The 15,609-nt window shown below is 32.6% G+C and overlaps 1 protein-coding gene across 13 annotated transcripts in view; it reads right to left on the reverse strand.

Annotated features, from left to right (window-relative positions):
• Positions 1–15,609, reverse strand: part of EPHA5 (EPH receptor A5) — a 350,923-nt gene that overhangs the window by 321,428 nt on the left and 13,886 nt on the right. For all 13 annotated transcript variants that reach the window (NM_001437320.1, NM_001437321.1, NM_001437313.1 and 10 more), the window contains exon 2: positions 2,369–2,433. In NM_001437320.1, the coding sequence (NP_001424249.1) occupies positions 2,369–2,433 (65 nt within the window). The remainder of the gene's footprint in view (positions 1–2,368; positions 2,434–15,609) is intronic.

A 15,609-nucleotide genomic window follows, 5' to 3' on the forward strand; every position in this document is an offset into this window, starting at 1 on the left:
AATTGCCTCTCTTTTTGACAAATTCCCAGCTGAGAAAAAGATACTTCAAGAGCTCTAAGTCAGGTGAAATCAAGAGTGTCTTACAATGTAGTCTTCTAGAGAGTTCTCAAACATGTCAAATAAAGACAATTCTCTGAAATTGAGGCTGGGAAGAGTCTCCTACTTCCTTTCTGTTCTTACGAGGCTACTGGTTTTCACCATGATGACTGAATTTTGGCTTTTCAAGACTACCTCAGAGCTAGAGAGGCAGAAAGGACACGGAGCAAGTAAAATGCCACAAACCTTGCTATCTTTAAAAGATTCAGTCATTTTTCTTAAATAAGCATGCCCTATATTGCTCCAAGATGTTGTTTGAATCCAGAGTTCCAAAACAATTGACTCGAACATTTTTTTTCCAGTTTTCTTGTGGCATTTATTGAAAAAAAAATTGGAGTTCATTACTCCACAGTTTTTATGTACATCATTCTGATAATCTATATTTCACCTACGATTATGTTGCTTATCTAATCACAAATGGCACAGCCAACTAAAAACATTTTAAGTCTATATGTTTTTACTATCATTGTATATACCTTGAACATTCATTTTCCTTAAATATAATACATTTTTTCCTTCATTTTGCATTCGAGTGATACAATACAAAACATAACACCTGAATCCCATACACATTTTTCACCCTCAAATATACATTCATTAAGCCCCTCTAAATTAACTTCCCTGTCTTCAATATTAACATCTGGTACACTATGTTGAAGGAAACATTACTCAACATAATTACAAGAATTTTGAAAAGGATCCTTATTGTTTAAAAAACAGAACAAATACACCACTATATTAACAATAATAATAGAAAAAAAAGACAGCATGAAGTTGTTAGAATAATTTAAAAAATCCCACTCCCAATACAGAAGGATTATGTTTTTATAAAGCAATTAATTGTTTCATATAGAAATCATGTATAAAATTGAGTAATTGTCTTCAAATGTATAGTTGCAACAGCAACTACAACACCATACGTATACTCTCATAGATATGCTCTTCCAAGGCTCTATTTTAATAATGTCTGAGTGGAAACAGGAGAAAAACACAAAACTAAATTCAAAGAGAATATCTCATATATTTTCTCTGGATTCTAAAAAATTAATTTCAACACAGCACATCAGCCATCCTCTCAGAAAGAAAAAAAAATTAAAATATTTATTCAATAGATTATTTTTGGTACATGAAAAAAGGGAGAATACAAAATATCTGTATAGGTTCTCATAGACAGATGTTAGCCAGGCATTTATCTGTATGGAGCGATGATAGATGAGAGAAAGAGTGTGATGGTGCAGGGAAGAAGGAAGAGTGTAAGAAAGATAAAAGAGGAACACATTGAAAGTATACATGTTATCATCTTGAGCCTGGCTCTACCTGGGTTATGCAATGTTTTTGTTTGTTTTTTGTTATTTTGCCTTACCTTTATGTTCTATTATCTTAAAAATCTAGTAGTATTCCTTCTTAATATTATGTCTTTAAGTACATCTGTAACTTTTAACAACTAAAAAGAAATACCAAATTGATGAAAAACATAAAAGCCCACTGAGATGAGGATGTTAATATACAAATTATTATGAATTAGAATAATTAATACAATGTGTTATTTCCATAATAACTTTCTTAGTAAAGGACTGATTCACACATCTGGTTTACTCATTAATTTGAAAATGAAAATTTTGCCTCTTTAGGTTGTTATAATCAAATTTGTTATAATATTTGATTACTCTAAAATTAACCTTTGATATCATCTAAAAATATAAGTGTGCACAATTTTCTAGATGAATTGCATGTGTACATGATATTATAATAGTTTCTTGGAATCTTTTTTTATCTCAATGTCATTTAAAGGAATTTCTTATAATATTTTTTATTCCCTGATTCTGTAAATGAAGTAAAAATTAAATTGGTCCCAGCGTTGAATCAACACTGATCATAGACCTGTTAAATTTTATTTCCTGTGCAATATGCCAGGATGATGGCAAATTAATAGCAAATAAAATACTTTTATCTTTAATATAAACTAATTCTGAAAGTTTCTTTGTTGTTTTAATGTGAACTTTTCCTAAATGCTGAAGGAAACTTCACATCTCTTTGTGGAACAATACTCAGAGAGGAAATAATATATTGACTCTTCAGTCACTGAAAGCCCTTCCCTAGTGTTCCTTTTTTTGATTAGAGTTATTTGAAGTCCCCTCACCCCATCCAACACACACATAGCACCTCCTGTCTTAACAACATATACATCCAGTACATATTCATTCCTGTGTTACAAGTATCAAGATGCTTACGCACATAGCTTAAGTTTTAGAAAAACTTTCATAAAACTTACCCCATTTTTTGGAAAAGCAATCCATCCCAGGTCCCCCATGACAGTGCGTGAATCCAATAAATTCACTGAAAAGAAAAGAACAAAAAACTCAGTGAAATGTATATTATCATGAATATTGTATCTCTATTTTAATAGTGTTATTAAAATTGCATGTTGTTTACATAACTGAAATTAAGTGTTCATTATGATGAATACAATGGGTATAATTTAAAGAAAATATATTGATGCAGGAGAACAAATGATTTTAAATAAACATTTGAAGAACAATCACAGCAAAATTCTCTGAAAGCAAATCATTACCCTAATTTTTTTCTTGCAAAACAATAATAAATTTAAAAAAAAAGCTAATAAGGAAAAAAAAAGACAAAAAGTAAGCCCACAAAAATGAAACTTTCATGTGGCCTTGTACAAAGCTCGAGGTTTTGGGATTAAGCTGCAGCCATAAAATTGGAGCTAAATGTATTTTATTTTCTTCTGGAAAGCTGTTATGCAGCAATTAACAAATAATTTACATTAAACAGCAATAAACTATTCCCAAGATTGTAACATTTTTTGTGATATTAACAGAAATCTGTAATCCAAATTGCAAGTTTAATTAAGAAATAAATCTACACACCCTTAACCAAGACAAGGAAATTGTAGCAGTTCTTGAGATAGTTGATATACTTAAGAATCCATGGCATTCCCAAAGATATCTTCTTCTTAGATATGACCATAGTCTAAAAAGGATGTTTCATGTAGAACTGTCAGATATATTATATATGGGAATCCCAAGATATTTAGAAACTCCAGGACGGAAGTTTGAGTACCGTCATTACAAAAGGAAGCCATTTATGAGTATCTACACACACACACACCCCCATGCACACACATACACACTCATACATATCATACATATGGTGTTACATACTGTCTCTGAGAAATCAAACTAGCTTATAGGGTACTGTCTAGTCAAAATACTTTAGCCCTGGATCACAGATCATTATTTTTCCAACCTATTATACCTATCCCACATGGTTCTACCTGGCCTCCTGTGCAACAGAACAACTTTGAATGAGCCTGGAATATGAACCTGAAAGGGAAACACGTGAGTTATTCCTATGTAGAGGTATTGAGGCTTCCTTAAGCTGTATTCAAAAGCCAGTATCTTGAAATGCTACCATTTCTAAAAGGATGATTCTTTGTGTAAGTGTAAGCCTAAAGTACTAAAGGAATAACAGTTGATAGGCTGGGATGTGTTTTAATACTTTATAAGATAATATAACATTATTATGACTGAGGAAATTTTCTACATCTTAGAGAAATTATGTACATTTAACTATTATTATGCATCATTTATTTCACAGTAGCAAAAATTAATGAGACAAAAGCACGTTTGGGAACATGCATATCTTATAAACCACATTGAAAGTATATAATAATGTTAGTAACATTAAAATAAATCAATAACTTAAAATCTGTAGAAAAACAAATATGTTAAATATTACCTATATATACACATATATAGGTTGTTGCTAAATATACTTTATTCATCTATTTTCTGAGCTCATTAACTATACAAATGCATGCAATATAATGTTTGTATCATTTTTAACCTACTCAAATCATACTGGTTTTAAGGAATAATAATTAATTTGTGGAACTGTTAATTTCTTAAAGGAATGGTGATCTAACTGAAAAACTATTCTTTAAAAAACAAACAAAAACTGTTCTAATACCCACTGACCTTGCAAATCCTGCCACTCACTACATCTAATTTTTCAGACAGATCCATACTCTTCTTTTTACTTTATGGTTGGCTTTCCTGATTTCCATGGGAATAAGGCTACATTAAACTTAAATGCCCTTGTCCTCATTTTAGTTTTTCTGGGACACTAGGGCTGTGTCTAGACATGACTAAATACCAAGGGGTTGCAGAACCTAAATTTTATGTTTATTCATCTTAATGATTCATTTGATTCACCTTTTATATTGAGCAGCAGCATATCTGTGTAGATGAGACAAAGTAGAGCAAATCAGCAAACTAAGGGTGCTAATGACGGCAATCAAATTGAACTTAATCCTTTGGCAGCAAACTGATGTGCATAGGAATTCCAGGAATTCATAACCAGCCTACCATGAGAAACACAGCATTCCTTGTAGACCTCTTACTAATATGAAATATGAAGTATTATCAACAGAATTTCAGATGGTTTTTCAAGATTCAGTTAACTGCACTTGAATTAGGTTTAAACTAAATTACCATTTTTACCTTTTTTTTTTTTTCCTGGAAAATATGTATGTGTTGGACAAAACGAATTACCTCAAAAAACTAGCTTGGCTGTTAATATAATTTATTGAGTGTTCTCAATGTCGGAATACACTGCAGAATACATGAGAATAACTACATTAGGAATCTCTATAATCTTACAGTGATATGGTCAAATAGTTTTATTCGTATATAGACTAGGAAATTCACAAGAAATACATGTATGTATCTTCCCACTACTGCCTAAAATTGTGGTCCTTCTGGAAACAAATGATTTCATAAAATTCACAATCTTAAAAAGGTAATTACACATCCCATTTCTAGAATGGAAATTGAGAAAAAGAGTAAAATTAGGCATTTTAGCAATTATTTGCATATTATTATATTATGATTTTGTTTATATAATGGAGAATAAATTAGGATTTGATTCTCAGAGAAAATAACTAAAATGTATGTGCAAATTTTAAAATACATATCTTTCTTTTACCTTCTGAATTGCTAACGTTTCCTTTGTCCTTCAAAACGTATTTCAGGAACTTCCTTCTTCAGGACACTATTCTGATCTTCCCTTTCCTAAATCTGAGTTAGGTATTATTACTTAATATTCTATGACTACTCAATTCCTATCTCTAAAACACTGAATGCACAGAATTCTCTTATAAGAACACCATGTTTGACTCACGCCTATGAACCTAGCCTCAGTTCAGAAGAGCTGAATAGCTGTTTATCTTATGAATGAATAATCTGGTCAGTGGAAAGATCAGGAGGGTGTGGCTAATCAGCATACACCAGTGGTTCTCAACATGGAGATATAATAATGTCTGGACACATTTAGGGGCATTTATCTATTTTCTGAGTTCATTAGTGGATGAATACTTGCTTCTGGCATTTAATGGGAAGAAGTCAGGTATGTGGTGAAACATCCTACAATGTACTGTCAACCTCCCCAGGAAAGAATTATCTGGCCAAAATTTCACTGGTACCAAAGTTAAGAAACCCTGTTATATACCTATTGATGCCACTAGAAATTTTCTACTTTCACAATTATTTATATGGTATATCAGTAGAATGATCTGTTCATCTATCAATGTACCAGATAAAGAATTGTGAAAGTAGAAATTTAACAGAAGTTAGCATATTTGGGGGCCTTCTTTTTGAACCAAAATAATACTTCAATTTAAGAAAATTAAAGTAATAAAATATTTTAGTCTTATTTATAAAAATAAAAACAGAATATCTGACTATATAACACCACTAAATTATCTTTCACATAACCGATATAATTATTACAGGTGTTCTTATATACGCTTCCATAATTTCTCAGTATTCATGACAATATGCATGAAAAAGCACTTTGCCACTACTGTAATCAATGCCTCCATTTTCCCTACTAGTAAAACAAAAAATCAAAGATAGCTATATAAAAAACAGAAGTTTGCCAGGCATGGTGGCTCACGCCTGTAATCCCAGCACTTTGGGAGGCTGAGGCGGGTGGATCATGAGGTTAGGAGATTGAGACCATCCTGGCTAACACGGTGAAACCCCATCTCTACTAAAAATACAAAAAAATTAGCCGGGTGTGGTGGTGGGTGCCTGTTGTCCCAGCTACTCATGAGGCTGAGGCAGGAGAATGGTGTGAACCTGGGAGGCGGAGCTTGCAGTGAGCTGAGATTGTGCCACTGCACTCCAGCCTGGGCGACAGAGCAAGACTCTGTCTCAAAAAAAAAAAAAAAAAAAAAAAAGAAGTTTAGACATAGGGTATATATAAATGTGAATTTTCAGAAGTTAATTTCCCAATTACCAAATTTATTAAAAAGAGGGGATTGGCAGTAATAGAGCATAGTCACTAAGTATCTTCTGTGCTATAATTACAGTAATTAAATTGTTCTGAACAGTATATATGCTTGTCGTAAATTGCAATGAATACATGAGTATTGATCTTATTGTACAACTTAATTAAAACTTGTCTGGGAGAACCCACTAATGAATATAATTAGAGGAAATGTTTGATGCCACAGTTACTCTAGAAGACATTAGATATCAGAAATTTTATGAAAATTTTTTTCATTCTATTATTTATATTTTAAAATACAGTCATACCATTCAACTGAGAGACAGATTTCAAGGTGACTTTTCCCTGAGCCATTGTATAATTATGATTAAGATGGACATGTTGGTTGATATTGGTATTTTAATCAGTAATTAAGAAGGCTGATTATCCAGGAGAAATAACTTTAAAGGGGTTAATGAATATGTACTAAATTGCAAATTCCTAAAGTTAACGTATAGGGAAAAATACTAATACAGGAACTTTTTAATAAGGAAAAGTCACTTAACTGAATGCCCAACCAAATAACAGATTATGAAAGAAACTAATTCAAAATAGTCTTTAGTATGCTTTAATTGTATTACTACACATTAACAATTTCAATGCTTTATTGAACAGAGAAAAGCTTTTAGAAAATTCACTTTCAGAAAAAGCAGATTGCTAACTCATTATATTTGTTGAGATTCAAGGAGAGCAAAGAGCAAATAAATAAAATGGAATATGAATAAGAAGATTCCTAAATCCTCAACTTCACACATTCTAATAATTAAAGTTTAGCTTAGGTTAATAATACAAATATGTTCTTCAATGATTATAACTTTCAAACATTCTAACTTGTTCTGTATCACTTTGACTCCACTACTTTATCCTTAACATCTTGCCAACTTAAGTCACTATGAGCAGGAAAATGTATTAGATTCTCCAGGAAATAGACACATTGGAATGAAAGTGTTTTCAGACTTTGAAGAGTCAAAAGATAGATCAAGGACATGTGATCCCACCATATACCATCAGTGGGCAAAGGCTTAAGAGAATGTGTGATCCTTGATGACATGAAGATAGACAATTAGAAGTCATATTCTTACTTATATTGTTTCTGTTTTTGCCATTATCTTCACATTAACAAACACAATTATAATGTCAGTTAAACCTCCGCTACAGTATGAAAAGAGAACAATTTGGGTTAGTAGCAGATTATATGGCCTTCTCTTTCTCTAAAGGCATTGAGTCAAAGTCACATTGCATACAAGAGGCTTTTGATGGATGCTTGCTTATTGACTTTCATTTAACAATATCAGAAAAGCTACTGGATTCAATTATAACACACATTTAACTAATCTGTGGGAACAAACCCCAGATATACAGCTGTCCAGCCTCTCTCCATGGTCCCATTCAGCACAGATGTAATTTCTTGCTTTCAGGCTAAATTTTGTAGTTTGACAACTGCTGCAGGGAACAAAGAACAGTTTACAAAATGAGTGCAGAGAAAGAGGACATGTGTTTCCCACTGGAAAACTAGATTTGTAAATTTGGGGAAAATTATGTTATAGGTTTAGAAGTGTTATGTAGATTTCTGGCATCCCTTGACTGGAAGGCAGGAAGCCATAGCCAACTGTATTTTCACAGACAATGAATGGAAGAGTATTTATTTTACAATTCTGAGCAATCCATATGCATAGTCTTTTTTAGAGAAAAGAAGAATGAATATGGGGAAATAACTTGGTGAATGCTTACTATATGTCAGGTGCTCTACAAGGCAATTTATGTATAAAGCAGTAACTGAGACCTTAGTAACAGACCATGAGCACTGCTTATTGTTTCCTGCAGCCAAGTCAGTCCTCTACTTAAGACCTAAACATCAGATCACTTTATTACAACCACCTATTTCCCTGGACATCCAAAGACTCTAATCAGGAATGAATCTACCTTGTTTGTACATGAACCAAGGCAGCTGAACATAGCTTGAGAAAAACTGCACAACCAGAGACTGATTTCATTCTAAGTAAATGACCTCAAATGAGCCATCAACATTACCTGACAAACCTATATTTGGGTAACTAGTCCTTTTGTATATTAACCACAAAGTATTTTCTAAAAATTTTCATTAAAATATATTCAAAAATAAACCTCACATTCCCATCCAGTAAATGTCCTATCTCTGTCCTTTTCATAACTCAAATTATTGAATGAATTGTCAACACCCCTATCTATTATTTCCTCATATCTTCCTCATTCCTTACCTAATCCATTATAATCTGGCTTCAATCCCCATTATTCTATTAAAACTTCTGTTACTAAATTCACTAGTGATAATTGCGTAGCTCTGAGCTCCTAATTTGCCTTATCTTTTGGCAGCATTTGGTCATGATCACGATAGACAAACAATCTCACTTTTCATCTTCAGTGACAACAGATTTCTGTGGTTTTCTTACCTCTCTAGCTACTTCTTTCTCTTTCCTTTATAAGCTATTCTTACTGTACCATCCCTTCAAATCTCGATTTTGATCAATGCCTCATTTTTGTAGATTTCCTTCACTTCTCACACTACACCAAAAATTCTTGATTAACAAATGATATTAACAAATGATATTGATATTAACAAATAATCACATAAATCCATTTAGTTTGTCCATCTGTCTCTCCTAAAACTCCTGTAAATTTGTAAAACTGACTGCTGGTTCTTAACATATTTATGGTATATAATCATCCCCAAATTCAGCCTGCCCCCAAATGAACAAAGTATCTTCTCTATACAGAAGTAAAAATAAAAATTGTGCTCCCATGTTCCCTAGTTCAACGAGTGCAATGCCATATAACTAGTTGCTCTGGCTGGGCGCGGTGGCTCACGCCTGTGATCCCAGCACTTTGGGAGGCCGAGGCGGGCAGATCACGAGGTCAGGAGATGGAGACCATCCTGGCTAACACAGTGAAACCCGGTGTGTACTAAACATACAAAAAAAAAAAAAAAAAATTAACCAGGGCTTGGTGGCGGGCGCCCGTAGTCCCAGCTATTCGGGAGGCTGAGGCAGGAGAATGGCGTGAACTTAGGAGGCGGAGCTTGCAGTGAGCCGAGATCGCGCCACTGCACTTCAGCCTGGGCAACAGAGTGAGACTCAGTCTCAAAAAAAAAAAAAGAGCTAGTTGTTAGTTGTTCTATCCAAATATCTGAGTCACTGAGTCACCCTTTCCTCACCTTTAGCCCCACATTGAATCATTGACCAAATCCTACTGATTCTAACACAATGATAACTCTAAATCACCTGCTCTGTTTCATTCCACAGTATAACCAGTCCAGTTAAATCCTTGCCATAATTTTTCACTTGAAAAATCTCCTAACTGCTCTCTCTGCAGAAAAAGATATGATGCTTAACACTTTCTTCAAAATACTGCTTCCAGAAAGATCTTTGTAAACCACCAATATAATCATGTCCCTCTCTTACTTCAATCTTGTAATATTCTTATTATTTTGACACAAGTCCTTCCAGGGTTTTTCTTTTCCAGTTTTATTCAAGTTTGTTTGTCTCTCTATTTTCCCATTTCAGCAAAAATGAACTTATTTCAATTCCAATTATGTGGTCCCACTATTGATTCAGTTCTCTCCAGTGATCTGTGAAGGGGATCTGCAAAGGAAGGGAATTTAGGTAGAAAATATTAGTAAAGAAAACTCCTGACTGCCTTTGATGTTGCTGGGAATGGATGTATTTCCTGGAACTGATACAGTCATCGAGAGAAAATAAGTAGAATCAGCAGGGGAGCAAAGCTTTCAGATTAAGGTTGGCAGAGTGAAGGGATGGGAAGTATCTGGTTCCAAATTATATCATAGAGTTGTTAATCCATCTAAACTTGAAACTTGCCTCTCTCAGGAATTGCTTTTATGTGGGAAAAATCAATGTTGTTGCTTAATCCAGTAGGGAAGTTATTTGCTGTTATTTGAAGAGGAAGACATACTAACTGATACAACTTGTAAGTGGCAGAGCTTGAAGGCAAACCTATGTCTCCGTTCCAGTGTCTATTCTCCTTCCATGATGTTAATACTTCCAAAAATTGTATTCACAGAATTCTAATGACATTTAAAAACTAGTCACTTAAATTTTCACATTATCTTTGAAATGATTCCTAAAAGAGATGACTTTTATTTTTCCTTTAGCTTAATATTATGCTTAATTGTTTACTGCAAATAATGAGTGCCTTTTTTATTTCAAAATATTTTCATCTTTATTTATTTTACCCCAAAGTATTTTTCATCACCACAAAGATGTTATAGACATTGCTCTTCAAAAGTTAAGCAGTAGAATATTCATACCATAAAGCATATGACTATGATGGAAGCAAAAATCAATCCGAAATGTATACCAAGTGTTTTGAATTGTTAATAGCCTAAAAAAGTGTAAACCCAGGGAGATGGCAGAAAAGAATTCAGAAACAGTATCCACTGGTTCGTCTGTACAAAGTGTTAAGGCAGAGCTCATACAGTAGTCTACTGACAGCTAAATTATGACTAATGAGCAGTCTGCTATATTCACAGAACATATTGCATGAAAAGAGCAACACCATATGGTTTTCGGTGGCTACCTTGTCAGGTATGCTAACCAAACTTGTATAATCTTACATATTGTTTTTATTCTAAAAAGAAAAGCCAACATTAGATGATATAAGAAGCTTGAAAATCTTTACATCACAAAATACTTCACATAAAGCAGCTTAATTCCACCCTACTATGTATATAGATAATATGAGGCTGTTTCTTTCAAAAACAAAACATTGTCAAGTCCTCACTACTGGAAATAAATGTGCATATTCACAATTCACTTTGGGAATGCTTCATTGCATAGAGAATACTCATTAGTTCTATGGTTCCAGTTCTGCTACTGTGTGACCTTGAGGAAATAATTTTACTTTGAGGGCCTCAGTCCTCAGGTCTGTAACATCAGTGACTGAAACTAAAATTATATGTTTCTGTACTTAATATACATTATATCACTTAATCCTAACAATTGTCTTTTAGTATATTATTTTGCCCATTTTACAGATGAGGAAATGGAAGTTGAAAAACACTAATAGGGCAAGAGCCCAAGGTCCCAGAGCTAATAAGCATATAGCTGAAATCTAAATCCAAGTATATCTAACTCCAAAGCTCTTTCTCTTGTATCTATATCATACTCGCCCCAACGTTTGACTGGTGAAATACAAAGGTTCACTCTTTTGAACCACTTAATCCTACATATCAATGAATTTTATGAGATCAATTACTGAAAATCTTATGTTACAGAAGCCAGCATCACCATAATGCTTCAATTTTATTGTATATCAGATGAAAATCTTCAGGCATATCAATCTAAATAGAACAGACATTAGGTTTTCCTGGAAAAATCACATTTTCTAATCAAATTTTCAAAAATAAGTTACAAGATTCCAGAAAGCAAATGAGAAAGCAACAAAGTAATAATGAACCCTCTTTTCTTATTTTTTTATTTTGTTACTCACTTTGCTTTAAGCATGTTAATGGGGGCAAAATAGGATAGCATTTGTCCTAAACAGGCAAAAGGTACACTAAAAACTACTATATTAAAATAGAATTTAAAAAAATGTAAGCAAAGCTGATTCTTTGTTTTGAAGGGATGCTTACCTTAGTTCTTAATTACCCCTAATGCTTAAGTGAATTATACCAAACTTAAAAACAACCTATATAATCATTAGCTTTCCAGACTTCAGGGGAGGATAAATGAGGATTACAGGAGACAGAAAGTCACACAAACTCATAGTCTCTATTTTAAAGTGATGGCACATACCAAAAATAAACAAACAACTTGATGACCTAGTACTCCTGATGTAAAAGGAGAAGTGACCCAAATTTTTGCTGACATTCATGTCAGCCTTGCAGTTTAGTCAAAATTTAATATTAATGTAAACCCTACATAATGATTTTTATCTAAAATTTTTAAATCTTTGGTTAATGTTTTATCATTAAAAACTAGTCAAAATATAAAGTAACACAGACAAAAATACTAACAAAGTACAAATATTGTGCCAAATGATTTTAGGTGGCTGATCACAAACATTTTAGTACTCAGAACTAATTATCCATCTCAAAATAACTGGATTCATGATAGCAGGAAAATATTTTAAAATTAGTCTATTAAAATACAATGGTTTATATATCTTAACTGTATAAAATTGTTGTAGTATTAATCACTTTTGTCTAGTTAGCCTAGTACATATAATCGATTTTTGGTCACAAAATGACTGCAGTAGTTGGCTATTTGTCCTTTCTCAAAGGTTACAAAGAAAATAAAAAATAAAAGAAATAATGTAAAATAAAAGAAATAATTAAAATAAAAGTACTTTCATTTTTCTGTGATATTGTGGCAGACGTTGTTTTATGCTTATTAATTACTCATATCCTTTTTCTTTCCTTAGTATCATAATATCAGTGATATGCTTCATATCAGACCATGGATCAGAGGGGTCTTAGCAAACAATGATAATCGTGCTGCTGTTATCTTAGGCTCCCTTGAATCTGGTAGCCTTGTTACATAGGTCTGGCAATGAGATATGGACAGCAATCTGCTTGCCAATTTCTGGGAAAGTTTTGTTGTTTAAACTAAAGGAATAATGCTGCTGACATGGCTATCGGTGCTTCTCTTTCCCTTTTTCTTATTCTGAATTGGTTGTGATACTGGCAGATGCATTAGCATTCTTGCAACCATAACACCATGAACATGAGAGTAAGGCCAAGAAAAACACAGACTTCTGTCTTCATAGAACCCAAGCCACCAGACATCTACCCTCCAACTTCTTTCTTGAAAAAAAAAAAAACAAAACTATTTTTAAGCCGCTGTTGGATAGTTTTTTCTATTTGTAACCCAATATAGTTCTACAGATAATATATACACAACGGACGAGAAAGTCCAACTTACTGCCTTAACTTTTGTTCAAGTTCCATAGAATATAACACCTACAATGAGGGTTCATTCATTAAACAAATATTTATTGAGTATCTACTTAACTGCCAAGAATTGTTCTAAGCCTTGGGGATAGATACATCAGTAAATAAAACAGGAAGTATCTTGATTATCATTCAGTCTTCTAATAGCATGGCCCTGAGAATAGAAACTCCTTTGAATTTATATTACCTGTGAAGTCATCCATCTGAATCTCCTAAATCAGACTCTCAGGATGTAACTATCTAAGTTAACATTTAGCATTTACAGATACATATATATTTATTTATTTTTAATATATATTTATTTATACATAAATATATAAATGTATAAATATATTTTTATATATAACTATCTAAATTATAGTTATCTATCTAAATTATAATGTCTAATTTAGATAGTTTCATTCTGTTATAAATCCTAAATTAGATAGGATATAACTATCTAAACTAACATTTACCATTATGGATATATATGTATTTTAATATATATTTATTTATATATATTAAATATATATAAATATACATTTATTTTTATATGTATGTATATAAGCTTTGATATATGTATATATATCAAAGCATATACCTTGAGGATCAGTTTTTTCAAATCAGTGGTTATGTCATTGAATATGCATCAAATCATACTTAGAATTCATTTTTCTTTTGCACAGTGTTACTTGCTTTTATAATTCTCTAACACCTTGTATTTCCTTAATGTACATAGTGTTACCTGATAATCATCTATATCCCCTTTATCCTTAGAACACTTTCATATTCTCTTTTATTAACAATAGAAACCATTTATATAGCATTTTCTAAGCATGAGTCATATGTTAAGTGATATATACATGTGAGTAAATATACACTGTTTTTTTGAAGTGTGGTATTTCTATCACCCACATTCAAATCACCAGAAGTACTTTTTTTTAAACTATAAATCCATTGGCTCTTTCTAAAAGTACAAAATCAGGACATTAGGTAGAGACGAAAATGCAAGCAACTGCATTTTAGAAGTTCCCGCACAACTACCAACCCAAGTAATTCTTATGTTCACTTAACTAGAGTTAGAAGTGAGCCAGCTATGCCTTGGCTCAATGAGGTGAATCTACCTATTACACAGCTGTATTTTGTAGCAATGTCAAATTGCAATAATAGTCTCTAAATCTAACTCTCAATCTTTATATTGATATAATTGCAAACTAGTTCCAGTGTCAGTACACATCTCACTTTAAGTACTTCCGTTCTAAGCAAGGGTTCTTTAACAAGGATAAAGATCAGAATTATCTATGGGGGTTCTAAAACTACAGATTTCCAAGTTGCAGAAGTATAGATTTCCAAAGAATTTGCTTTCATCAATTTTGATTCCATAAGTTTAGGTGGGTCCAGACACAGCATAATTAACAATATTCTGAGGTTGGCTCTAATGAGCACCTCTGCATTAGGGACCATTGGTTTAAAGTAAACTTCACCAGATATTATAATTTCTGTTTTAGGCAGATTTATAGAAAGTTACAAGTCAGGATTATATCACATTGATCTTCCATACAACATTCCTTTTATATTTTAACACAGTAGTTTTTAAACTGAGCTCAGAATGGCCTGGAGATCCTAAAAAGATGTCTCAGAAGTACAAGCATATGGAGGGAAAAGGGAGACAAGAAAACAGCCAGGAAGCCCAATAATTCTTTTGTTACCTGATTTAGGTATTAGGTTTCCACAGTGATTTCTTTTGAACTTGCTGCTGCTGCTGCTTAAAAAAAAAAAAAAAAAAAAAAAGTCCCTAAAACCACTGCTAGCTTTATGTCTATGGCTTTCTACAATGACTCATACAAGAATCCATCAGATAATCAGTGAAAATTAAAAATATTATTCATGGCATCCTTCAAACAAAAACACCACTGGGGTTCTCTCAAACCCCAGAGTTGGAAAAAAAAAATGTCAGTTACCTGATGAACTGACAGGTTTTCTACCAGGAAGTGAGAACTGTGTAACTGAAAGCTTATGCTTAACTTTTCTATATAATTGCTTTAGCATTGATGATAGTGAGATTTTCTTGATACGAGTTTTCCATATGCATATTTCCACATTCCATATGCATGTTTTCTTGTGCATATATTTATATTATTTTTATATCTTCATTTATTTTCTCATGAAGCATACTATTTATATGTAGTATACTACATTTACATGTAGCATTTTATATATATATTATATATATATAATAT

The sequence above is a fragment of the Homo sapiens genome, chromosome 4 (genome assembly GCF_000001405.40).
Source record: "Homo sapiens chromosome 4, GRCh38.p14 Primary Assembly".
Taxonomy (NCBI): Eukaryota; Metazoa; Chordata; class Mammalia; order Primates; family Hominidae; genus Homo; species Homo sapiens.